Source organism: Homo sapiens, chromosome 11, assembly GCF_000001405.40.
Source record: "Homo sapiens chromosome 11, GRCh38.p14 Primary Assembly".
Lineage (NCBI taxonomy): Eukaryota > Metazoa > Chordata > Mammalia > Primates > Hominidae > Homo > Homo sapiens.
In genome coordinates, this window is record NC_000011.10 from 47,837,107 (window position 1) to 47,864,079 (window position 26,973).

The following is a 26,973-nucleotide window of genomic DNA, read 5'->3' on the forward strand; positions in this document are numbered from 1 at the left end:
AGAAGGACCAAGAGCTTATATGCTGGTATAAGACAACTACATTTCTATTTGGTTTATCGCCAATTACTATAATAAAATTTAAAAGGCTCTACATAACAATGGAAGACTGTTTCCTTTTATATTGTTTTCCTGTAACCATCAAAAACTTTCTATTTCTAATAATTTTACACGAAACTGGATTTGGGTAAGTCGGGGCAGAGCACTGAACTGGATATTGTGAGAATATAAACAGGCCGATTTATGCTGACAAGGCATCCAATTGCAGATGAAAGGGACTCGGGAGTGTGGCTTTCCTCAGATGGAATTTAATGTTATTCTGACTGTTCTCCTTTCCAGTATAATGTTTGCCTTGGAATAAGACTGGAAACAATAACTGCCGACCAGTGCAAAAAGATTAAATTCTTGGGCCCTTTGATTTACCTGCCAGACACCACTCACCTGATAGCTGTTGGCATCCAGCCTGTAAGCAATCGTTGCATTACTGAACTCTGTTTCAGTTCCACGACTGACACCATACCTGCAATGATATCCAAGGCACCTCTTGAACACACTTAGAGAAACCCAAAGGCAAGAATGATGTAACCATGAACAAGGTCTTTATAATAGGCAACAGACTTCCGTATTTCTGTACTAACAAAGGTTTAGGATGTAACTTTCCTGCATATATCACACCTAAAATATTTTGAATCATTATTAGATCCATAAAAATAGCATTTTTATACTTCTCATGGAAATTTTTGCCTTTTACAGACAGTAACCCATATTGCCACCCGGCAGAATCACTTCATTCTTTCTAAAACAATCACTAGGTACCTTTCATGTGCCAGGCACAGTTCTAGATGGTAGTGACATAGCAGTAAACAAAACAAATTTTAAAACTCCTGTCCTCCTGGAACTTATATTCCTTTGGGGGAAGGGGAGAAGCAGAGACAGTTAAATTAAGTAGAATGGTAGTAAGTCAGAAAAATAAGACACAAAAGGAGTACAGAGAGTGCCAGGATATAGGGAGGGCAGGCAGGGGCACTGCAATTTTGAAAAGGATGGTCAGGGAAGGCCTCAACAAGGTGACATTGAGTAAAGACCTAAAGGAGCTGAGGGAATGAGCCAAGCTAGTAGCTGACAATACCAAACAAATGCCTTGTTGAAGTAGGGGTGTTCCTGGCATATTCAAGGAATTACAAGAAGGCATGTGGCTGGTGAAGAGGGGAAGAGTGAACAGATGAAGTTGGAGACAGCAGTGGGTCACTCTAGGCCAGTGTAAGGACTCTGGGTTTATTCAGCATAACATGATATATTTGAATCCCACCTTGGGTCATGTTGGCCAGGTGCCGTGGCTCACACCTGTAATCCCAGCACTTTGGGAAGCTGAGGCAGGCGGATCACTTGAGGTCAGGAGTTCGAGACCAGCCTAGTCAATGTGGCAAAACCCCATCTCTACTAAAAATTCAAAAATTAGCCAGGTGTGGTGGTGGACACCTGTAATTCCAGCTACTTGGGAGGCTGAGACATGAGAATCACTTGAACCTGGGGGGGGCGGAGGTTGCAGTGAGCCAAGATGGCACCACTGCATTCCAGCCTGGGTGACAGTGAGACTCTGTCTCAAAAGAAAGAAAGAAAGGCCAGGTGCGGTGGCTCAAGCCTGTAATCCCAACACTTTGGGAGGCTGAGGTGGGCAGATCACAAGGTCAGGAGTTCGAGACCAGCCTGGCTAACATGGTGAAACCCTGTCTCTACTAAAAATACAAAAATTAGCTGGGTATGGTGGCAAATGCCTGTAATCCCAGCTGCTCAGGAGACTGATGCAGGAGAATCGCTTGAACCCAGGAGGTGGAGATTGCAGTGAGCTGAGATCATGCCACTGTACTCCAGCCTGGGCGACAGAGAGAAATCCCATCTCAAAAAAAAAAAAAGAATAAAAGAAAAGTTGTGTCATGTCACTGCACTACATAAAGGACGGCTTTACACAGTGCAGTGACATGACCCAACTTGGGTTTTTCTTTTTGAGATGGAGTTTCGCTCTTGTTGCCCAGGCTGGAGTGCAATGGCACGATCTTGGCTTATCGCAACCTCCACCTCTTGGGTTCAAGCGATTCTCTTGCCTCAGCCTCCCGAGTAGCTGGGATTACAGGCATGGGCCACCATGCCCAGCTAATTTTGTATTTTTAGTAGAGACGGGGTTTCTCCATGTTGGTCAGGTTGATCTCCAACTCCCAACCTCAGGTGACCCACCTGCCTTGGCCTCCCACAGTGCTGGGATTATAGACGTGAGCCACAGCGCCTGGCCCTTGGGTTTTAAATATATCAGTCCACCTGAGAAGTGTCTGAAGAGGGTTAAGACAGATCTGGGGAGATATATAGAAAGCTAATACAATAATCCAGGCAAGACACAGTGGCAACTTGGTGCAGGGTATTTAATGTCTTTGTTTCAATTAATTTAATTATAATGTTATAATGCCTCCATCTCAGGGCAGACAATTAGGCAACCCATCTCTACTACAAGATTTAGAATAGGCTGTCTTATACTTGTCTATTTGTTTTTCCGTGCTCCAATATGCTTTATAGTTCCTTATCCACTGTATAAAAGTAAAGCATTAGGGACTCATTAGGCAAGCAATAATGAATGACCAGTTCCGGGGCAGTAGAGATGCAATCCCTGCATTGGATGACGAGGTTGAACTGTTTCAATGTTAACATTCCTTGTTTAAAGTTAAATCCATGCTCAGTTCCCATTCTTACCAGGTATGTCATAAGGAGGTAGCTTAAGAACAAAGATTCCCCCAGAAGCACATGGTAAGGCAAACAGGGCCTCCCCATCACTGCTGAGCCAGGCTGTAGAGGCGGTGGAATTAGGAGATATTCCAGGTACTGCTGGAATTAACTGATAGTTGCAAGGATCTGTGAAATCAACTTTTCCAATGTCAGTGAATATTGACTGCATCTGACTGTCAACTACCAACTCCTGTTGAGTAATTAAAAAGAAAAATCTATTAAATCAAAATAACCAGAATTTTGCTCAGTTCCTCTCTATTGCTAAAAAAGTTTTTAAAGTAAAAAACTGTCAAGTTTAAGAAAGCTATTCTTCTTAATGAAAACTAATTCTCAACTTAAAATGTATGCCTGATCATTTTAAGCGGTAGCTATCAAAGTATGCTTGGTGAGGGATAACGAGAATCCAAATTTCCTTCAATTCCAAAAGACATCGCTCCAGCACTACATTTGTGACACCCAGAGTAATTTGGGAAATAAAAGATATTGCACTTAGCCAACTTACACTCCTATACATCCGGGAGGGGTGTGGTAAAAGTAACCTGTGCACTGTTTGATTGGTTAACATCAAGATTATCACACGATTCTGAGTCTCAGAGACATAAACCCCTCCAGGTAAAACACTGCAATTTTGGAATTTTAGGCGAATGGCATTATTCAACAGATTTATGTCCAGTGACTCCTCCATCAGCTCCAATGTATCTCCAGAGGTCTTCCTGTTGAAAAAGAGACATTTGTTTGAAAAGTTTATGCTTTTCTCACTGACTGTTCTACTGAAATATATGAGAACAGTGTCCAAGTGAACTCACCAAATTTGAAAATTTTGGATAAACAGATTTGGACCACTTTTGCATGCCAAATCACATTATGTACATTTATAAAAAACAGCATAACAAAATCCAAATTTCACTGTGATTCTGTTACATAGAGACATTTCCAAACTTGATAGGCCATTTATTTAGGACAATATTTTATGCAATTAACTCTACTATAATAAAAATTAACACCATACCCCGGCCATTGCTTGTAGTGGAATGTGGCCTCCATATATACTACAGCATCAAACAAAACTGACCTTAATAATTGCGGTTATTTCCTGTTTCTATTACTTCTTAACCTGCAATAGCATGCATGCGCACACATATACACACACACACACAGAATAGCAATTTTATACATGCGCTTACATGTATGTGCAAAAATATTACAAAAATAAATATTTTAATATAAAAATACCTTCGCAAATTGAACATATCAGGGTTAGTTTCTATACTAAGCTATTCTAACTTTCATTATTACTCCTCAAAAGGAGCTTGTTTATTTATTTTTTTCTTTTTTCCCCCACCCTCCCCAAAAGGAGCTTGTTTATTAATCCCAGCTGAGGAGCAAGGAGCCACTGGCAGCCACAGATCTCACTGCTGCACAGGGTTTTTAGAACTTCAGCCATAAAAATGGGCAGAATTTTCCTTGATCATATTCGTGGTACCTGTCCATTTTCTTATGCAAACTGTGATACAATCCTGACCAACCGCTCAGAATTCATCTCCACTTGGTTCACAGGCGCCACTGGCAGAGCATTTCTTTTTAACAAGGTAGTGAACCTGCAGTACAATGAAGCTCTAGATTGGGTCATGCTCACTGGCCACCACATGGTCCAACATGTGAGCTGAAAAACTGCAGCAGCAAACTGGGATGGATCTACGAGTTTGCCACCGAAGACAGCCAGTGTTACAAGGAAGGCCATGTGATCCTGGAACGTGCTCTAGTTCGAGAGATTGAGGGCTCTAAGGAGCATGTACCATCTGATAATTTTTGTTTGTTTGTTTGTTTTTTTTTTGAGACAGGGTCTCACTCTGTCAGGCTGGGGTGCAGTGGTGCAATCATAGCTCACTACAGCCTCGAACTCCTGGGCTCAGGCAATCCTCCCACCTCAACCTCCTCAGCAGCTGGGACTACAGGTGTGCACCACCACACCTGGCTAATTTTTGTATTTTTTAGTAGAGACGGGGTTTCACCATGTTGGCCAGGCTGATCTTGAACTCCTGGCCTCAAGCCTCCCAAAGTGCTACCTGCCTCGGCCTCCCAAAGTGCTGGGATTACAGGTGTGAGCCACCACACCTGGCCCTCTTACTTGACTCTTAGCAGCATTCCACATGATTACAGGTGTTAGCCACCATGCCTGGCCCTCTTACTTGATCTCTTAGCAGCATTCCACATATGTGACCTTGCCTTCCTTTTTAAACAGTCTCTTCTCATGAATCCTATGATACTACCCTCTCCCAGTTTTCCTCCCACATTCCTGTCCATTTCTTCCCCTTCTCCTTGACCTGACCCCTATATGCTAGATTTCCTCAAACCTTGATCCTGGACCATCTTCTCTCACTGTACACTTTCTCCCAAGGCACATCTTATCTACTCCCAAGGATGTAAGTACCTTTTCAGCGCTGATGATTTCCCAGAGCTACTTTGCTTCTGGTAACTCACGGCATCAGCACAATTTTCTGGATCCTCAACCTCATCTCTGAATAATTCCTTCGCTTTCCTGCCTTACGGTTAAAGTTGGATCCTGGATCTCCCGTGAGGACAGTGACCCCAGAGTTTTCTCTACCATGCCCTTTGGGGTGGGGCCTCAAGGAAAACATACAGATGTCCTTGTTCCCCACTGGCATTCTAGGCCACTGTTCCTCCTCTGCTACCCGAATCACTCAGCTCTGAAGCTCATGGAATCAGATACCACCTGCTACCCATGCTCACTGCAGTTGATTTTAGCTCCTGGCCCACTGTCACTCTCTCCCACACTACTCTCACCATAATTCTTAATGATTTCAGTATCAGGGCCAGGTACAATAGCTCATGCCTATGATCCCAGCATTTTGGGAGGCCAAGACAGGAGGATTTCTTCAGCCCAGGAGTACGAGATCAGCCTGGGCAACACAGCAAAACCCTATCTCTACAAAATAAAAAAATTAGCCAGGCATGGTGATGCCCGCCTGTAATCTCAGCCACTTGGGAGGCTGAGATGGGAGGATCGATTGAGCCTAGGAGTTCGGGCTGCAGTAGGCCATGACTGTGCTATTTTACTCCAGCCTGGGTGACAGAGTGAAACTCTGACTCTAAAAAAAAACAAACAAACAAATGAATAAACAATATCCAATTATCCTAACACTCTACCTTCTCAGTTCCCCAAATTCCTTTCCTCTAGTGATTGCTCTCAACTGCATCTACTAGGTCATTCCCAACTGCACATAGATATATTATTATATTTTCTCTGTTCCTCCCTTGCTCTCTGGTTACCATGTGATTTCTCTGCTTCCCTTATAGCAATACACCTTGGAAGGGCTATTCTATACTCACAATTCCTCTCCTCCCTTTCCCTCTTGAACCCACTCCACTGAGGCTTTTGTACGACTACTGCAGCAATTCCTGACCAGGTCATCAATGACCTCCATGATCCAAAGGCCAATTTTCGTTTCTCATCTTGCCTGGCTTAAATGCAACACTGACAGGTTTTCACTCTCCTCCTCCTTGAAACATTTCCCTTAGCTTCTGGGATGCCACGTTCTTTGTTCAACTCTCACTTCAGTTACTCCTTCTTGGGCTCCTTTGTTGGTTCGTCATTTTTCTAAATGTTGGTGTGCCCCAGGGTTCAGTCCCAGACTGCTCTACTCAAGTGGCTCTCAACTGGGGGCGATTCTTCCTCATTCACCAGGATATTAAGCAATATCTAGAGATATTGTTGGTTATTGTAACTAGGGTAGAAGTGGCGGTATAGATGTGCTATTGCTATGCAGAGGGTAGAAGCCAGGAATGCTGCTTAACACCCTATAGCATACAGGACAGCCTTCCACAATGAAGACTTAGCTGACAATAATAGTGCAGAAGGTGAAAAATCCTAATTTATTCTCACTTTCTAGGTGATCTCATTCAGTAGAACAGCTTTAAGCACGATCTAATGCCAACAATTTCACAATCTGTATCTTTAGCCCAACTTCTCCACTCAACTCCTGACTACTGTCTCAACACTCACTTGGATATCTATCAGGCATCTCAGATTACACCTGTCCAAAACAGAACTCCTGGACTCACTGAACCTGAAGAAAACAAAAGTACCTGCTTCACCTATACGTTTTTCCATCGCAATTAATGACATCTCCCTAACTTCCAATTGCTCAAGCCAAAAATCTAGGGCTCACCTGTGACTCTTTTCTTTCTGTATACTCCCCATCCAATGCAACAGTAATTCTAACAAATTCACCTTGAAAACATATCCACAATCACAACATTTCTCACTGCCTCTGTCACTACCACCCTGATCTAAGCCACCATCATGTGTGAATTGTGGCACCAGCCTCCTAACTGGTCTCCCTGCACCTACCCTTTCCCCCACCACGCTCTATTCTCAAGACAGCAGTCAAAGCAATCCTTTAGAAGCCCAGATCTTAGATCACGTCATTCCTCCACTTTAACCTTCCACAGCTTCTTCTCATCTTACTCAGAGCAAAAGCCAAAGCTTAAAATAACCAACAAAGCCCTGATCTGGCCCTCAACTATCTCTTTCTTATTATTCTACCCTTTGTTCACTCAGCTGCAGACTCCTGGCTCCTTTCCACTCTTTGAACACAACAGGCTCCTGTTTCAGGGTTCTTTGCACTTTTTATTCCTTTTTCTTGGAAGGCTCCACCTGAAATACTCATTCCCCAGATATCCTTTCTTCTGCTCAAATGTCAGCTTACCCCTGGCTCTTGCCCAACCACCCTACATAAAACATTAACTCCCACAGGTATTCCTCTTCCCTCTTATGCTGTTCCCTTTTTCCTATTCCATTAATCAACTGACAAACTGTCAGAGGCATGTGAACCAGAACAACTCCATCTTGAATAGGAGTTGGGTAAAACAAGACTGAAACCTACTGGGATGCATTCCCAGACAGTTAAGGCATTCTAAGTCACAGGATGAGATAGGAGGTCAGCACAAAATACAGGTCATAAAGACCTTGCTGATAAAACAGGTTGCAATAAAGGAGCAAGCCAAAACCCACCAAAACCAAAATGGCGACAAGGGTGACCTCCAGTTGTCCTCACTGCTACACTCCCATCAACGCCATGACAGTTTACAAATGCCATGGCAACATCAGGAAGTTACATCAGGAGTCTAAAAAGTGGGGGCATGAATAATCCACCCCTGTTTAGCATATCATCAAGAAATAACCATAAAAATGGGCAACCAGCAGCCCTCGGAGCTACTCTGTCTATGGAGTAGCCATTCTTTTATTTACATTTTTTTTTGAGATGCAGTTTTGCTCTTGTTGCCCAGGCTGGAGTGCAATGGTGTGATCTCAGCTCACTGCACCCTCCACCTCCTGGGTTCAAGCTATTCTCCTGCCTCAGCCTCCCAAGTAGCTGGGATTATAGGCATGTGCCATCATGCCCAGCTAATTTTGTATTTTTAGTAGAGACACGGTTTCACCATGTTGGTCAGGCTGGTCTCGAACTCCTGACCTCAGGTGATCCACCTGCCTCGGCCTCCTAAAGTACTGGGATTACAGGTGTGAGCCACCATGCCTGGCTTCCTTTACTTTCTTAATAAACTTGCTTTCACTATGCACTGCGGACTTGCCCTGAATTCTTTCTTGTGCGAGATCCAAGAACCCTCCCTTGGGGTCTGGATCGGCACCCTTTTCCTGTAACAAAACTGCATGTACTTGGGGTTTTTTGGTTATTGTTGTTGTTGCCTATCTTCCTCCATAAGAGTAGGGACTTTGTTTTGTTCCCTGCTATATCCCTGTTCCCTAAAAACGGACTGAAATACATTAGGCAAGCAAATTTTCTTTCTTTCTTCCTGTTTTCTTAAAAGAGATGGGGTCTTACCCTTTTTCCCACCTGGAGTGCAGTGGCATGATCGGATCCTCCCACCTCAGCCTCCTGAGTAGTTAAGATGAAAGGCACACGCTACTCCGCCTGGCTTATTTTAAAAAATCAGGCTGGACACGGTGGCTTACGCCTGTAATCCTAGCAAGTTGGGAGGCCGAGAACGGGGCACTGCTTGAGTCTGGCAGTTCAAGACCAGTCTGGACAACAAGGCAAAACCCCATCTCTACAAAAACAAATAGAAAAATTAGCTGGGCATGGTGGTGCATACTTGTAATTCCAGCTACTTGGGAGGCTGAGGTGGGAGGGTCACTTGAACCCAGGAGGCGGAGACTGCAGTAAGCCATAATTGCACCAATGCACTCCAGCCTGGACAATGGAGCCAGACTGTCTCTCAAAAAGAAAAAAAAAAAAAAGCAGAAAGAAAAAAAAATTTTTTTTGTAGAAATGGGGTCTTGAACTCCCGGCCTCAAGAGATCCTCCCACCTCAGCCCCCCAAAGTGCTGGGATTACAGGTGTGAGCCACTGTGCCCAGCCAAAATATTTAATTAAATGAAATTTGTATCTCTAACATAAAGTCACTCTTTTGAGCCTTAGACCTGTAAACTTCAATGCCTACTTGACATTTCCAAAGGGCTGCTCCCCAGGTACTTCAAATTTACTATGTCCAATAGAATTATTCATATCTATCCAAAATCCATCTTCCGGGTATCTCTGTAAATGGCAACCCCTCCCCACTCACATCTGGTTAGTCACATGAGACACCAGGGAGCTGTCCTTGTTCTCTCTTCTTTTACCATCCCTTACCCCATATTCAATCCACCACCAAGCCCTAGTGAATCTATCTTCCAAAGGTATCTTGAATCCATCTACTTTTCTATTTCTAGTCATTCCCACAATTGAGCCACCAGCAACCCTTACTTGGGCCATGATAAAAGCAAAATTTTTTTTGTATTATACCCATCTAATCCAAATCCACTTTCCACAAAGTAGACTGAGATCTTCTAAAAATACATTTAAAAAAATTTAGATTCAGGGGTACATGTGCAGGTTTGTTACATGAGTATATTGTGTGTATATTCCTATATACATGAGGTTTGGGCTTCTGATGATCCTGCCGCCCAAGTTGTGAACACAGTATCCGATAGGTTTTCCAACCTTTGCTCCCCTCCCTCCCTCCTTTTGGAATCCCTAGTGTTAACTGTTCCCATCCAAAAATGCAATTTTGATGTTAGTAACTCTTTAAAAATCTTTCAATTATTACTCAATGTACTTAGGATAAAATCCAAAAATCCTTAAAAATGGCCTAAGGGTCCCTCATGGTCCGAGTCCTGCCTACCTCTCCAGCCTCAGTATCTCACATCACTTTCTGTTTTACCCACTGCACTTAAGCCACACAGATCTTTGGTCAGTTCCAAACCCGCCACATTCTTTCCACTTCATGACCTTTGCATATGGTGATCCTACTTGCTGGACTCCTCTCTGTCCACTCCCCATGCCTGGCTAACCTCGTGTCCTTTAGATCTCAGGGTAACTGTGAATTCCTTAAAGCCTTTCCCTGCCCCACTAATTATATTTGGTCCTCTTATTAGCCTCTCATAACCCGTATATTTTTCCTCTAGGGCAAGTTTTCCTCCAAAAAATTTCCCCATGAAAAGTGGGTCTACATCTATTCTGACATTGCTACAACGTCTTGCATGATGAAAATTGCAGTTTTGTTCATTTCGTCCTGGTACCTAGCACAATGCCTGACATATTGAAGCTCGAACGTATTTGTACAATGAAGGAAGCTGTAAAGCACTATAAAAACATAACGGGTTCATGTTTAAAATTGGTCTTATGGGCTTTATTCCCCTAAGCTACATTTCCTCTGCTTCTGGTGTTGCTTGGTGTATGTGTGTGTGGGGGTGGGGGGGGGGAGGGGGAGAGGTATCTCTTCTAGAACTCTGTGTCTCAGTTTTCCCGATTCTGATACGAACTGAAAAAACAATCTTTCTCTTTCCCTAAGTGTCAATTACCGCTTCTAGAATAGCACTTTGGGTACAGCGACGAAAATTTATACACCAAACCCTACCTTCCAGGGGAGTTTGGCGAACCACAACACTTACCAATGAATGAACCTGTTTCTGGTTACGGAGAACAACTTGCCACTCTCCACGTAGTAAAAGCCTCCCGCGCTTTCACTGTATTTTACGGCGCCAGCCACGGCATTTGCAGTCCCTGCAAAATGAACGTGGTCAGCCTGCACACGCGTCTTCTGAGAAATGACAGGGACTAAGGGAGCTGACAAAGCAGAGAGTGACAGACTGACAACCCATACAAAGAAAAGAGGAAAACGTCGGACATCAAGGAATCTCTGATCCCGGGGCTAGAGGCATGTGGACTCAGGAGGATGAAACAGGGCGTCAGGGACCCTGGGACCCATGAGAGGAGCCCGAGGGGACAGATGGGATCGCACCCTCCCTGGCCATTTCCGTACCAATGCTGCAGACTGTGAATTCCCGAAAGTGCCTCGGCCTTTCGCGCTCAGCTCCGCTTAGCTCCACGAAGCTCCGTTCCAGGGCTCCCGCCGCCGCCATCTTCCCGCCGTCGCCGCGACGCCCAACGGAACAAAGGCAGGGCCGCGCGGTCGCCGTCACTTCCGGGGGTGGGGCGGGCGGAGCTGCGGACAGGTGAAGCATTCCGGGAGCAGAAAGGCGGCTCCGGCCCTTCGTTGCGAGGCTTCCACCGGGAGAATGAGGGTGGGCAGCGAGGAATCCAGAAGAGAAGGGGGCAGGGGAGGCAGACTCTATCTGCGGGAACCTTCCAGTGGCCGGCTGGAACGCCTCCGGAGGGCGGTGCTCTTTTCTCAGCGGCCGCAGGGCAGGGGGCGGGGCCGGGTTTGTTTCTGTTTCTAAAACGCGGGGCTCAGTCGACCAGGAGGGGCGAGGTCCGGGGAGTCCCGGCCTTTCGGCGTCCTCTGCCGGATCCCGGGTTTATGGTCACCTCTCCCTCGGTTAGGGTGTCCGTCTGTAAATCTTTGGCGATCCTCCCTTCGCTCTTCAGTGGCGACACTTGGGATGGCGGGGTGAGGAAGGGGTAGTGAGGGAAAGGCCTTTGGTTTTGGTCTTTCCCCTCCCCAAGAGACTGTATTCGTGTATTCCTGTATAATGAAACGTAATGTGGTAAACCTTGGTGCTGCCACTTGCTGAGGTTACCTGAGTGCTACTCACTTGGATACGTGAAAGGAATTTGCCATTCCTTCCACCCGTGATCTTGCACTTGGCTGTCAATGCAGTAAGGGCCCATAGTGGGTGTTTAGAAGATATTGTGGGAGTAGATGTTCAAAATCGAGGAAAATGCTAATCTCCAGCGGGGAAGGTTTTGTTCCTTAGTGATAGCCAATAGAAGTTAAAGCACTTCTATTACCAGTGACCACAACCATTCCCTGTCATTCTCCGTTTCATTTATCTGGTTCCGACCATCATTTTCTATCTTTCCACTTCACTCCCTCTGGGACACCAACTTTGGCAGTGCAGTCCCCTCATTCTACCTGGAATCCATTGTTCTACAAAATCTTCACTGTCCCACACTTCTTTGGTGTTTCTTTCTTATCCTGAATACCATTAAATTACTTCATTGCCTAACTCTTCATCGGTAAAAACTACAACTTCGACTACATTCAAATCTGTAGCTGAACATGACTGGAGAAAACTATACACCCGGGTCGGGCGTGGCTCCCAGCATTTTGGGAGGCCAAGGCGTGAGGATCACTTGAGGTCAGGAGTCCGAGACCAGCCTGGCCAACATGGTGAAACCCGGTCTCTACCAAAAATAGAAAAATTAGCCGGGCGCGGTGGCTCACGCCTGTAATCCCAGCGCTCTGGGAGGCAGAGGTGGGTGGATCACGAGGTAAGGAGTTTCAGACCAACCTGGCCAACATGGTGAAACCCTGTCTCTATTAAAGATACAAAAAATTAGCCGGGCATGGTGGTGCACGCCTGTAATCCCAGCTACTCGGGAGGCTGAGGCAGGAGAATCGCTTGAACCTGGGAGGTGGAGGTTGCAGCGAGCCAAGATCGCGCCACTGCACTCCAGCCTGGGTGACAAAGCGAGACTGTCTCAAAAAAAAAAAAAAAAAGAAGAAAGAAAAAAAGAAAAATTAGCTGGGCATGATGGTGCGCTCATGTAATCCCGGCTACTTGGGAAGCTGAGGCAGGAGAATCGCTTGAACCCGGAAGGTGGAGGTTACAGTGAGCCAAGATCTCGCCGTTGCACTCCAGCCTGGGCAACAAGAGCGAAACTCCGTCTCAAAAAAAGAAAAGAAAGAAAACAGAAAACTATACACCCATACTGACATGCCTCCCTGTAACTCCATCAGGACCATGTACCTTGAGTGGGCCCATAATGCTGCCCAGCAAACACATTGTATTTGCCTTCTCCATTTACTGTTCTAAATGAATATTTCATAACTCCTATAACCTCCATTGCCTCCTTTGTCATCCTGACTCTCAGCTTGCTTCTTCATTTAGAAAATTAAAGCAGAGGCTGAGATGGAAGGATGGCTTGAGGCCAGGAGTTCAAGACAAGCCTGGGCAACATACCCCCATCTCTAATAAAAATTTTTAAAAAACTAGCCAGGCATAGTTGTGTGCCTCTGTAGTCCCAGCTATAGGAGGTTTCTTGAGCCCAGGAGTTGGAGGATACAGTGAGCTACAATCCTGCCACTGTGCTCCAGCATGGCCAGAAAGACACCCATCTGGAAAGAAGGAAGGAGGAAGGGAGGACTTCCTCTATAATGACATCTCCCCACCTACCAGCATCTGTAACCACATATTTTGCCTTCCCTTCCTGTTACTATAAACTGTCTCTGAGCTTATGCAGAGACAACCTTTCTACTTCCTTAGAACACCTGCTCAAGGACATCATTCTAGCAATTCAATTATTTCCATTTTCAGTCTTTTCCCCTTTTCTCTTAGTACTGTATGTACTAAGCATACAAACATTCCCTCGACCTCCACTCTCTGCAGCTACTACTCCATATCTCTTCTCCTCTCACCCACAGCAAAACTCAAGAGTGTTTTAATTCCTTCTCTCTCATTCTCATATATATATATATATATATATATATATATATATATATATATATATATATATTTTATTGAGATGGAGTTTCGCTATTGTTGGCCAGGCTGGAGTGCAATGGCACAATCTCGGCTCACTGCAACCTCCGCCTCCTGGGTTCAAGAGATTCTCCTGCCTCAGCCTCCCAAGTAGCTGTGATTACAGGCATGCGCTGCCCTGCCTGGGTAATGTTTTTTGTATTTTTAGTAGAGACAGGGTTTCACCATGTTGGTCAGGCTGGTCTCGAACTCCTTACCTCAAGTGATCCACTTGCCTCGGCCTCCCAAAGTGCTGGGATTACAGGCGTGAGCCACTGCATCTGGCCTCATTAAATCCATGTTTTTCAGGCTTTTGCTTCTACTGCCTTGCTGAAACTGCTTTTTTCCGGGTTATCAATGGCATCCACATTATCTGTCTAATACTAAACTGCTATTTCTTTTTTCTGACACATAATCTTGCTCTGTTATCCAGGCTGGGGTGCAGTGATGTGATCCCAGCTCATTGCAGCCTCAAACTCCTGGGCTGAGGTGATCCTCCTGCCTCAGCCTCTCGAGTAGCTGGGGCCACAGGCTTGTGCCACCATGCCCTGCCAAATTTTTTATTTTTTATTTTTTGTAGAGACAAGGTCTTCCTATGTTGCCCAGGCTGGTCTCAAACTCCAGGCCTCAAGCGATCCTCCTACCTCTGCCTCCCAAAGTGCTGGGATTACAGGCGTGAGCCACAGCACCTGGCCTGAACTGTTATTTCTAAGCTTATTTGACTACTTGTAGAATTTGACCAATTGCTTGCTCCTTCCTCGTGGAAACACATTCTTCATGTGGCATCAAGGACGCCACTCTCTTGATTCTACCTATTTCACTAACTGTTCCTTTTCAGACTCCTTTCCTAGATGCTCCTCTTTTCCCCAACCTCTTGATGTTGGAGTGTCCAGAGTTCAGTTCTTGGTCCTTTCCATCTACAAACACTCCCCTGAGAATCTCACCCAGTCTTCTGGCTTTAAATACTGCATTGTTATATGCCGATCATCCCCAAATGTATACCTCCAGTCTAAGCTTCTCCCCCGAAGTCCAGGTTTATATATTCAACGGCCTATTTTGTATCTTAGATGTAACATGTCTGAAACTGAAGTCCTAACCTCTCTCCCCACACTTACTTTCCCCATCGCAGTTACCAGCACTGTTCCAGTTGCTCAGCCTCCTGAGTAGCTGGGATTACAGGTGCTTGCCACTACGCCTGGCTTATTTTTTTTGTATGTTTAGTAGAGATGAGGTTTCACAGTGTTAGCCAGGATGGTCTCAATCTCCTGACCTCATGATCTGCCTGCCTCGGCCTCACAAAGTGCTGGGATTACAGGTGTGAGTCACCGCGCCTGGCCACACTTCAACTGTTATTATTTACAAATTCCTGGTTATCTAAGTTATAACTGCTCATGACACTGATGTGCCACAGTAGAGAGAACTATTCCGAAGACTGATTATTTCCACTTTCATATCTAGAGGTCAGACCTCTTTTGCCGAGTTCTCAGCCTTTTATATTCAGTTGCCTCCTTGATGCCCCTTGGATTTCCCATGGACATCTCAAATTCAACATATCCAAAATGTTACCCCTCTCTATATAGTCTCACTATATACTCTCACATGTAGTCTATATCTGTGTGGACATCACCACTGTGGCCCAGTCTAGAAATCTAGTAATTACCCTGGACTTTTCTCTTTTAATCCCAACACCCAAATCTCATATATCCATATGGCAAAAGAAAGATGGCCACAAATTCTTTGACATTGTTCCCATCCAGAAGTGTAGCCTTCTTTGTCCCCTCCCCTTAAATCTGGAGGGTTCTGTAACTGCTATAAGGAATATAATACAGCAAAAGTGATGCTGTGCCAGCCTAGCTTAAGAGAGTCTACATCTCTCTTTGAAGACTGGCTATAGGGGAAGCAAGCTGCCATGTAAGAAATTTGGCTACGCCGGGGCCATCCTAGGCAGATTGCAGGGAGAGACCACACACAGAGACTCTAATTCTACTTGAAGTGAGAGATGCCTGGTAAGTCCCCAGGTCCCAGATATTTTGTAGAGCACAGATGAGTCATGACCACTGAGCCCTGTCCAAATTGCATATTAATGAGCTAAATACATGATTGCTATTTTTATTTTTATTAAATTAAATTAATTAATTAATTAATTTTGAGACAGAATCTCACTCTGTCGCCCAGGCTGGAGTGCAGTGGCTCAATCTTGGCTCACTGCAACCTCCAGCTCCTGGGTTCAAGTAGAGGTGGGGTTTTACCATGTTGGCCAGGCTGGTCTCGAACTCCTGACCTCAAGTGATCCACCCGTCTCAGCCTCCCAAAGTGCTAGGATTACAGGCATGAGCCACCGCGCCCGGCCTCAATGTACATATTTAATGTAGTAATGTTTTTTCATTTTTTTCTCAGAAAAAAATGTTAAATTGATGAGGCATGTTTCGGTTTTATAGGAATCTAGGAATTACATTTTTTGACAGTGAACACTTTTTAGCTTTAGATCACTGTCTTATCTCCAACATCCATCAGAATTCCGGGAACTTCACGTTACCTAATAAATGTTTGAGGAATAATTAAATGAATGAATAAGTGCATATATGCATTTTTGGAAAACTCAAATACCCTTTGAACTATTAATGTTCTGGGGGATGGTTATAACATAAATTGAATCATATTGCCATCTAGTGGTTAGGTAGTGACTTCGTTTAGAAACAAAATGCAGAATGTTACCAATATTGTGCAGCAAGTTTTATTTAAATACTTTTTTTTTTTTTCAGATGGAGTCTCGCTCTGTTGCTCACACTGGAGTGAAGTGGCGCGATCTCTGCTCACTGCAACCTCTACTTCCCAGGTTCAAGCGATTCTCCTGCCTCAGTCTCCTGAGTAGCTGGGATTCCAGGCACGCACCACCACACCTGGCTAATTTTTGTACTTTTAGTAGAGATGGGGTTTCACCATGTTGGTGAGGCTGGTCTTGAACATCCGACCTCGTGATCCGCCCGCCTCGGCCTCCCAAAGTGCTGGGATTCCCGAAGGCGTGAGCCACCACGCCCGGACTTTTTCTTTATTTTTTTTTTTTTGAGACGGAGTTTCGCTCTGTTGCCCGGGCTAGAGTGCAGTGGGGCATGATCTCAGCTGACTGCAATCTCTGCCTGCTGAGTTCAAGTGATTATCCTGCCTCAGCCTCCTGAGTACCTGGGATTACAGGTGCCCGACACCACGCCCGGCTAATTGTTTTATTTTTAGTAGAAACAGGGTTTCACCATCTTGGCCAGGCTGGTCTTGAACTCCTGACCTCGTGATCCACCCACTTTGGCCTCCCAAAGTGCTGGGATTACAGGTGTGAGCCACTGCGCTCAGCTGAACAATACTGTTAATTGAACTTTAAGCAGATTTTCATAACCAACTTGATAGCTACTCCTTGAAAGAAGAATTTGGTGGTTTAAACAAGTGTGGGAAATGATGATAAATAAAGTTAAACATATTTCTTTCTTGAAGAACTTTTCAAAGACATTAATATAATAGCTTTGTGAAGTTCCAAGAAGGCCTTATGCATGATACTGCTTTCCAGACTCTTTGACATACAGAATACTCTTTTCAAGGGGCAACTCATTGGACCATTGTTCTTTGAGAATATATTTTGGAAAACATGGCTTTACTTTCATTTTGCCCATAGGTTAAAAATATCAGCTGGGCATGGTGGCTCACACCTACAATCCCAGCATTTTGGGAGGCTGAAGCAGGAGGATTGGTTGAGCCCAGGAGTTTGAGACCACCCTGGGCAACATAGTGAGACTCCATCTCTACAAAAAAAAAAAAAATTATCCAAGTATGGTAGTGTACACCTGTAGTTTCAGCTACTTGGGAGGCTGGGGCAGGAGGATCCCTTGAGCCCAGAAGTTCAAGGTTATAATGAGCTATGACTGTGCCGCTGCACTCCAGCCTGGGTGACAGAACGAGACTCTGTTTCTAAAAAAAAAAGCAGAATTGTGGAATAAATGAAGTATGTCAGTGACTTCTCAATTCCGTTTTCAGTATTCTTTCTACCCACTTAGGAAACCACCATGACTTTAGACTCCAGGGCCTTTGAGGGGCCCTGAAAGCCCAGGGCTCCCACCTAGACTTGACCCTCCTGTGCTTTGGACTTATCCTTGGGAACTATACACCCTGGATTGTTTTCACCTTTCAGGTAATATTTTCTATAAATTTCTCTTTTTTTACTTTTTTTTTTTTTTTCTGAGACAGGGTGTCACTCTGTCGCCCAGGTTGGAGTGTAGTGGCCTGATCTCTGCTCACTGCAACCTCCGCCTCCCAGGTTCAAGTGATTCTCCTGCTTCAGCCTCCCAAGTAGCTGGGACTACAGGCGTGCACCACCACGCCCAGCTAATTTTTATATTTTTAGTAGAGACGGGGTTTCACCATGTTGGCCAGGCTGGTCTCAAACTCCTGACCTCAGGTGATCCTCCCATCTCGGCCTCCCAAAGTATTGGAATTACAGGTGTGAGCGACCATGCCTGGCCTTTTAAAAATTTTTTTTTAAATTTTTTGAGACAGAGTCTTACTCTGTCACACAGGCTGGAGTATAAGGTGCAATCTTGGTTCATTGCAACCTCCACCTCCCAGGTTCAAGCAATTCTCATGCCTCATCCTCCTAGTAGCTGGGATTTCAGGCGTGTACCTCTAACAACATTTTTGTATTTTTAGTAGAGATAGGGTTTCGCCATGTTGGCCAGGCTGGTCTCGAACTCCCGGCCTCAAGTGATCCCCCACCTTGGCCTCCCAAAGTGCTGGGATTACAGGCGTAAGCCACTGTGCCCAGCCAATTTTCTGTAAATTTCAATTATGATTCATTATATGATTAGTTAAATGTTACTTCTGTATCTTTGTAGGAGCTTACATGTAATTTAATTCACAAAATCAAAACAAACTCTTGCTAAGGTGGGCGAGGTGGCTCACGCCTGTAATCCCAGCAGTTTGGGAGGCTGAGGCGACAGATCACTTGAGGTCAGGAGTTCAAGACCAGCCTAGCCAACATGGTGAAACCCCACGTCTACTAAAAATATAAAAAAAATTAGCCAGGCATGATGGCATGCACCTGTAATCCCAGCTACTAGGGAGGCTGAGGCAGGAGAATTGCTTGAACCTGGGTGGTGGAGGTTGCAGTGGTGCCATAATGAGCCAAGGTGGCACCACTGCACTCCAGCCTGGGCGACAAAGCAAGACTCCATCTCAAAAAAAAAAAAAAAAATCCTCGCTTGAACCATATGTTCTGAGTTTTACTTCTGAAAATATGAATGCCTTACCTATTAAAACTAGCTCTGGTATAACTGGAAATGAGTTGACATTATAGTAATTCACACTGAGGTGCTGATGACTATAAAAACTTCATAAATTGCCTTTCCCAGAGGTAAGTCATGGCAACATACACTACCTTAACTGGTAGGGCATTGCCCCTCCTCCCTCTCTTGCTAATCAGTTGTGGGAGTCCTTTTCTACTGCCTCGGTATCATTTTCAACAGAGTGATTCAGAGAGCTATCAGCTGACTGGAATTGGCACGTTATCTATATACTCCACTTACCATCTCATTCAAAGGGATTAAACTCTAGTGGTGGAATTGGAGGCATCAACAAAGAACCAGATGTGCAGGTAGCCTCAGTAGGGGCAGTTAAGTTCATCTCAGTAAAATATGTTTAATATTAGTCTTTTTTTTTTCTTTTTTAAGATAGAGTCTCACTCTGTTGCCCAGGCTGGAGTGAAGTGGCACCATCTCCACTCACTGCAGCCTCTGTCTTTTGGGTTCAAGCATTGTCCTGCCTCAGCCTCCCGAGTAGCTAGGATTACAGGTGCTCACCACCACGCCCAGCGAATTTTTGTATTTTTAGTAGAGACAGGGTTTCACCATGTTGGCGAGGCTGGTCTTGAACTCCTGACCTCAGGTGATCCACCTGCCTTGGCCTCCCAAAATGCTGGGATTACAGGCGTGAGCCACCGCGCCTGGCCAATATTAGTCTTAAAAAACAAGGTGGGCCAAGCATGGTCTCGCCATGTTAGCCAGGCTGGTCTCGAACTCGAGGCGGGCACAGGAGTTTGAGACAAGCCTGGGCAACATGGCGAAACCCCATCTCTACATAAAGTACAAAAATTAGCCAGGTGTGGTGGTACATGCCTGTAGTATCAGCTACTCTGGAGGCTGAGGTGGGAGGGAGGATGACCTGAGCCCAGGGAGGTTGAGGCTGCAGTGAGCTAGCTGAGATCACATTACTGGGCAACAGAGACCCTGTTTAAAAAAAAAAAAAATCAAGATCAAAAGTTGATCCAGTAAAAAGGGTTATTTGCATGTATAGAGTCCAAAAGTGCTTTTTTTTTTAGACAGGGTCTTACTCTGTTACCCAGGGTGGAGTGCAGTGGCATGATCAAGGCTCGCTGCAACCTCTGCCTCCCAGGTTCAAGTGATTCTCCTGCCTCAGCCTCCCAAGTAGCTGGGATTACAGGCTCGCACCACCACGGCTGGCTCATTGTTTTGTATTTTTAGTAAAGACAGAGTTTTACCATGTTGGTCAGGCTGGTCTTGAACTCCTGACCTCAAGTGATCTGCCTGCCTCGGCCTCCCAAAGTGCTGGCATTACAGGTGTGAGCCACTGTGCCTGGCCTCAGAAGTGCTTTTTAATATAAAAGTGTACAATACAATTAAGAGGCTAGAAATTCAGATATTTGAGTAGAGATTCTCACCTATATCTAGACCATCTTGAAGTTGCACCCACTTCAAACCCTCCCTTCTCATTCGGTTCTGTCTTAAAACCTCAGGGCTATCACTTCCTTTGTTGCTGCATGATCATGGGCAATGCCAATCAATGTGCTCACGTCTTTATGTCTTTCTCTGCAAAATAATGATGGCAATAAATATCAGTTGAGAGATTTTTGCAGTCTGTTTCATTCTTTTCTCTTTTCATCTGCTCCTGAGAGTTTTTTTTTTTAATATCCTTCTCCTGTGCTACCCCTACAAAGAATAAAAAGCTTCAAATCATAAAAATAGGATGAGTTTTTAGAAGTATCACTCCTTCCTCATTTTGCCTGCCAAGTTTCAATTTGGTGCAGGTGCCGAAAGATGTTTATAGGCAAATAAAATAAGTCACTTCCACGTCTCAGAGCAAGGATGCTCAGTGACCCGAATAGGGGTTAGAACTTTGATGAGAGGCTCCAGTTTGAGGTCAGAGGCCAATGCTTTTCCAAACCCCCAGACTTTAGTCTTGTTTTGGCTTGCATTTGTCACTGCCCAAATCTTGCAAGAATTTCTGGCAATTAAATTAGTCAAAATGTGTGACTACAATTTCAGAGCTGGCAAAGCCTCTATGGGCAGCCACAGGTCCACACCCAGTGATTGTTTATATTTCTCTCGCATCCTCCAGGATCTTGCTTACGCACCAGTTTCTCTTGAGTAACGGTATGTGGAGCCAAGTCAGTAACGGTAATATTCCTTGTCTGCCTCCTTGGGCTGGTCCTGACGCTGGCCTCGACAATGCCAGGCTCTGGAACTATTTGTTTCTGAATTCCAGCCAAGAAGTCTAACAATTCTCTCCTTTCCTTTCCATCGCCCTCTTCTTCCTTACTAATGCCAAGTCTGGGATTTTCCTTGTCTAAAGACCACAGGGGCAAGGAAATGAACTTTCTTGGGATACCACAGACCACTTAACAGAAAATGTGCCCTTTGTTCTCATTCAAATGCCTTTTCCTTAAATGATATTTCTTTTCTTTTTTTTGAGACAGAGTCTTGCTCTGTCACCTAGGCTGGAGTGCAGTGGCATGATCTCAGCTCACTGCAACCTCTGCCTCCCAGGTTCAAGCGATTCTCCTGCCTCAGCCTCCCGAGTAGCTGGGATTACAGGCGTCCACCACCATGCCTGGCTAATTTTTGTGTTTTTAGTAGAGGCAGGGTTTCACCATGTTGGCCAGGCTAGTCTCCAACTCCTGACCTCAGGTGATCCCCCCGACCTTGGGCTCCCCAAATGCTGGGATTACAGGCATGAGCCACCGTGCCCGGCCTCCTTAAATGATATTTCTAAGGTTTCCTCAGATCTATCTGCACTAACTACTTGATTTTTCCTAGGTGCCTGTCAGAAGACTAAAAGGAGGCATTGGAATTCTGAATTTTCTGATTAGAAAGCAGTAGCTCACCGTAATCCCAGCACTTTGGGAGGCTGAGGTGGGTGGATCATTTGAGGTCAGGAGTTTGAGACCAGCCTGGCCAAAATGGTGAAACCCCGTCTCTACTAAAAATACAAAAAATAGCCGGGTGTGATGGCAGGCACCTGTAATCCCAGCTACTTGGGAGGCTGAGGCAGGAGAATCTCTTGAATCTGGGAGATGGAGGTTACAGTGAGCCAAGATCATGCCACTGCACTCCAGCCTGGGTGACAAAGCAAGACTCTGACTCAAAAAAAAAAAAAAAAAAAAAAGGCCAGGTGCGGGGGCTCACCCTTGTAATCCCAGCACTTTGGGAGGCCAAGGCGGGTGGATCATGAGGTCAGGAGTTCAAGACCAGCCTGACCAACATGGTGAAACCCAGTCTCTACTAAAAATACAAAAATTAGCCAGGTGTAGTGGTGTGTGCCTGTAATCCCAGCTACTTAGTAAGCTGAGTCAGGAGAATTGCTTGAACCCGGGAGGCGGAGGTTGCAATGAGCTGAGATCATGCCACTGCACTCCAGCCTGGGCGACAGAGTGAGACTCTGTCTCAAAAAAAAAAAAAAAAAAGAAAGGAGTACCTCAAAAAGAAAAAGTGATTTGCCCAGGCATTTAGTCAGGCAATTCTATTAGTTGTGTCTGAATCCATTCTTTAAACATTTTAAAATGCTTTTAGCTCCTAGCAACCATATCCAAAACAAAGGAAGCAAACCCTTGTATTTACCTACAGGAAATAGAAAGATGCAGGTCTGGCTGTTGATCACTGATTCCACCATGAGCCAGAAAATTTTACTTCATTTGGCCAAACCCCGGGACAGTTCAGTAGGGATTGCTGTTGACACAAATAGGGGTTCCAGTTCCCACTGTTAACTAACCACTTGGCCTTGGCAAGTCACTTCATTTCTCTGGGCCTCAGTTTCCTCATCTGTAAAATGAGGCCTCTGGGCTTCATGATCTCTTAGGTTTCCTGGTTCACAACTAGGAAAATGCTAAGATAAAGGTATAGGTATAAACATCTTTAAAAAGTCAGAAAAACATCTATAACATTTCAAAAGAACAATCTCTAGTGGATAAAAATATGTGTACAGTACAGTTGACTCAGCAATTTCACTCAGAGTTTTATCCTAAGGAAACAATCACAGATATGCTTCAAGATACAAGGATTGACGGGCGTGGTGGCTCATGCCTATAATCCCAGCACTTTGGGAGGCCAAGGCGGGTGGATCACCTGAGGTCAGGAGTTCGAGACTAGGCTGGCCAACATGGTGAAACCCTGTCTCTACTAAAAATACAAAAAAATTAGCCGGGTGTGGTGGCACGTGCCTGTGATCCCAGCTGCTCAGGAGGCTGAGGCAGGAGAATCGCTTAAACCTGGGAGGCGGAGGTTGCAATGAGCTGAAATCGCGCCACTACACTCCAGCCTGGGCAACAGAGCGAGACTCAAAAACAAACAAAAAACAAGGATGACTGTCACAGTGTTTGCTTTTTTTCCCAAAATAAACATTTAATTTTAGAATAGGTTTAGATTTACAAAGAAATTGTAAAGGTAGTACAGAGATTTCCCGTATACTCCATCTATTCTCTCTCCCCAGCTCCCCTATTGTTAACAGTTTATGTTAGTATTGTCAGAGGCGTTCGAAACAGAGCGACTCCATTTTGAGTGAGGGCTGGAAAAATGAGGCCAGGACTTGCTGAGCTACATTCTCAGAAAGTTAGGCATTCCTAACCTCTAGATGTTTACGGCTAAGGGGACAAATTAATAATGCTTACTGAACAGACCCAGACTTGGGAGTGTCCAGATATCCCGATATCTGGAGAACAAAGGCATTCCTAATTTTGCTTTAAAGATAATAATATTGATTTTTGAAAAATATAGTAATTAAAAAAACTTAATCCTTTATCACAAACCCTTGTAGCAGAGCACATCTCCCCATATATACAAGCTTTGTACCTAGGGTGGATGCGTTCCTCCTCTTACTTTTGGGAACATCCTACTCTGTCTATGGAGTAGCTGTCCTTTCACCACTTTACTTTCCTAATACACTTGTTTTTGCTTTGCACTGCGGACTCACCCTGAAGTCTTTCTTGTGTGAGATCCAAGAACCCTCTCTTGGGGTCTGGATCGGGACCCCTTTCCTATCTGTAACAGTATGAAACATTGGTCACAACTAATGAACCAATACATATATATATATATTTTTGAGACAGAGTCTCGCTCTGTCACCCAGGCTGGAGTGCAGTGGCCTGATCTCGGCTCAGTGCAATCTCCACCTCCCTGATTCAAGCAATTCTCCTGCCTCAGTCTCCAGAATAGCTGGGATTACAGATGCCTGCCACCATGCCTGGCTAGTTTTTGTATTTTTAGTAGAGATGGGGTTTCACCATTTTGGCCAGGCTGGTCTTGAATTCTTGACCTCAAGTGATCTGCCCACCTCAGCTTCCCAAGGTGCTGGGATTACAGGCATGAGCCACCATGCCCAAACTAATAAACCAATATTGATACAGTATTATTAACTAAAATCCATACTTTTTTTCCCCCAATTTTAAGAGACAAGGTCTCATTCTGTCGCTCAGACTGGAGTGCAGTGGCATGATCATAGCTCACTGCAGCCTCAATCTCCCAGGCTCAAGTGATCCTCCCGCCTCAGCCTCCTGGGTAGCTGGGACTACAGGCACATGCCACCATGCCTGGCTAATTTTTAAATGTTTTGTAGAGATGGAATCTCTCTATGTTGCCCAAGCTAGTCAGGAATTCCCCTTGACAGTTTTGAGAAGTACTGAACAAGTATTTTGTAGAATGTCTTTTGTCTGATTTTTCTCTTAAAAAATCATGATTAGATTAGGGTTATGAGAGGAAGACCACAGAGGTAAAGTGCCATTCTTGTCCCAGCACAGCAGCAGGGGTACATGCTGTCTGCGTGACTTTTCGCTGATTATGTTAAGCTTAGTCACTTAGCTGAGGTAGTGTTTGCCAGATTTCACTGAGCTTTTTTTTTTTTGAGGCGGAGTCTCACTCAGTCTGTCACCCAGGCTGGAGTGCAGTGGTGCGATCTCAGCTCACTGCAACCTCTGCCTCCTGGGTTCCAGCGATTCTTCTGCCTCAACGTCCTGAGTAGCTGGGATTAAAGGTGTGTGCCACCACACCTGGCTAATTTTTGTATTTTTAGTAGAGACAGGGTTTCACCATGTTGGCCAGGCTGGTCTCGAACTCCTGACCTTGTGATCCGCCTGCCTCGGCCTCCCAAAGTGCTGGGATTACAGGTTTGAGCCACGGCGCCCAGCCTCACTGTGCTATTTTTTTAAAATAAAAAAAGTTCTCAAGCAAACTATAGGTCAATAGAGGACTTTAAACTCCATGGGGGCAAGATCTTTGCCTGCTTTGCTCACCACTGTGTATCCAGTGCTGAGCACATTTCTGACAAATAGTAGGTGTTAATTAGAATTTGTTGAAAGAGGGTCAGGCATGGTGGCTCACGCCTGTAATCCCAGCACTTTAAGAGGCCGAGGCGGGTGGATCACCTGAGGTTAAGAGTTTGAGACCAGTTGGCCAACATGGTGAAACCCCGTCTCTACTAAAAGTACAAAAATTAGCTGGGCGTGGTGGTGCATGCCTGTAATCCCAGCTACTTGGGAGGCTGAGGCAGGAGAATCGCTTGAACCTAGGAGGCAGAAGTTGCAGTGAGTCGAGATCATGCCACTACACTCCAGCATGGGCCACAGAGCGAGACTCGTCTCAAAAAAAAATAAAAGAATTTGTTGAATGAAAAAGTGGGAAGATAAATAAATTAACTTCTCCAATATGATGGAATACTGGCAATTATCATAAACATTTGATGATGTGAAAAAATGTAAAGTATTTATTGCTCAGTGAACAAAACAATTAGAAAACAATTTCTATACATTCAGTTTTCTATGAAGTGTGTTTGTGTGTGCAGAAAAATAACTAGAAGAATGTTGTCAACATGTTAACAGTGGTCGTTGGTTATTGCTGGGTGGGAAGGGAATGGGGATTTTTATTTTTTTCTTTGTTCCATATTTTTAAAAATTGTCACAATAAAAAGGAATTACTTTTTGAATCAGAAAAAGGAATAAAAATGGAGAAAAGTTTTAAACTTCAAAAAGATTCCCGAGCAAGGAAAACAGATATTCCAATACAATACTCAGCAACCACGTTATTTAGCCATGTATTAGTATCTGTGAAGGAACTGAAATCAGTGGTGCAGTGCAGAGAGGGTGTTGTCCTCAAAGTTCTGCAGTTTCTAGGAAACAGGGTACACTAGGCACCATCTGTTTCTGATTTAGAGCATTAGAGTTACAAGATCATAAGCCGTATCTTTGTTACTCTCATAACAAATTGTTTAAAGTTAAAAAAAAAGAGTAAAGAGCAAAACCAAATGCACAGGATGCCAGAGTGAATGGCATTATTGTATCATTTGCTTTCTCTTCCCAGGGGCTTTGCATTTTAAAAACACATGTTGTGGTTTTTCTGTGATTATCTTTCCACTTCCTGTGTTGTATCTCCTTACTGTAAATATCCTTTTGTATAGTCATGCTTTTTTCCCCTTGCGTCTTACATGTGTGTCTTTCTTAATATTCACTTTCTCCAGTCTTCTACTGTTTATTTTCCCTAATACTAATTTGTATGAGTCCATTGGTATTTTTATTCTCCAACAAGATTTTTTTAGAACCCTGGTTTCAAATCCTAGTCCCATCTTTTATTAACTGTATGGTCTGGGGGAAATTGCATAATTTCTCTGAATGTTTCCCGCTGAAAATAAGGACAATATTAGGTAACCAATGGGAGTATTGCAAGGATTAAATGAGTTTAATATAAATACATAGAGGATCTAGCCTAGGGATGGGCACAAACATGGCACTTAACCCTTGGTATCTTTTCCTTCCTTCTCTCCTTCTGTGTATCCTCTAATACTATGTCTCGAGTTATCTTTCTAAAACACCAACACATACTAAAGGGTCAAGTCTAACCTTAGCAGGTTTTCAGGGTCCTCCTCAAATAAGCCCCAACCCATCT

At 44.5% G+C, this 26,973-nt stretch overlaps 1 protein-coding gene and 1 pseudogene across 3 annotated transcripts in view, besides 5 other annotated features; one reads left to right on the forward strand and one right to left on the reverse strand.

The window, feature by feature from the left end:
* Positions 1 to 11,438, reverse strand: part of NUP160 (nucleoporin 160) — a 70,427-nt gene extending 58,989 nt beyond the window's left edge. For 2 of the 3 annotated variants that reach the window (NR_134636.3, NM_015231.3), the window contains exons 1-5: positions 11,113 to 11,244; positions 10,742 to 10,853; positions 3,272 to 3,482; positions 2,737 to 2,959; positions 439 to 517 (exon numbers count right to left, since the gene is read on the reverse strand). Coding sequence is in view for 2 of the 3 variants with exons in the window: in NM_015231.3 (NP_056046.2) it covers positions 439 to 517; positions 2,737 to 2,959; positions 3,272 to 3,482; positions 10,742 to 10,853; positions 11,113 to 11,212 (725 nt within the window). In the remaining variant the exon portion in view is untranslated. Of the gene's footprint in view, positions 1 to 438; positions 518 to 2,394; positions 3,483 to 10,741; positions 10,854 to 11,112 lie in introns of those variants that run through there. The other variant, NM_001318399.1, reaches the window with a different exon arrangement.
* On the forward strand, positions 4,138 to 4,581 carry YPEL5P2 (YPEL5 pseudogene 2; annotated as a pseudogene).
* Positions 11,182 to 11,741: an enhancer, noted in NCBI's record as "active region_4704". NCBI's record gives its function as "activates an Ori minimal core promoter by ATAC-STARR-seq in GM12878 lymphoblastoid cells {active_cell/tissue: GM12878}" and the evidence as "EXISTENCE:reporter gene assay evidence [ECO:0000049][PMID:35858748]".
* Positions 13,204 to 13,253: an enhancer, noted in NCBI's record as "active region_4705". NCBI's record gives its function as "activates an Ori minimal core promoter by ATAC-STARR-seq in GM12878 lymphoblastoid cells {active_cell/tissue: GM12878}" and the evidence as "EXISTENCE:reporter gene assay evidence [ECO:0000049][PMID:35858748]".
* Positions 13,284 to 13,333: an enhancer, noted in NCBI's record as "active region_4706". NCBI's record gives its function as "activates an Ori minimal core promoter by ATAC-STARR-seq in GM12878 lymphoblastoid cells {active_cell/tissue: GM12878}" and the evidence as "EXISTENCE:reporter gene assay evidence [ECO:0000049][PMID:35858748]".
* Positions 24,619 to 24,688: an enhancer, noted in NCBI's record as "active region_4707". NCBI's record gives its function as "activates an Ori minimal core promoter by ATAC-STARR-seq in GM12878 lymphoblastoid cells {active_cell/tissue: GM12878}" and the evidence as "EXISTENCE:reporter gene assay evidence [ECO:0000049][PMID:35858748]".
* Positions 26,074 to 26,123: an enhancer, noted in NCBI's record as "active region_4708". NCBI's record gives its function as "activates an Ori minimal core promoter by ATAC-STARR-seq in GM12878 lymphoblastoid cells {active_cell/tissue: GM12878}" and the evidence as "EXISTENCE:reporter gene assay evidence [ECO:0000049][PMID:35858748]".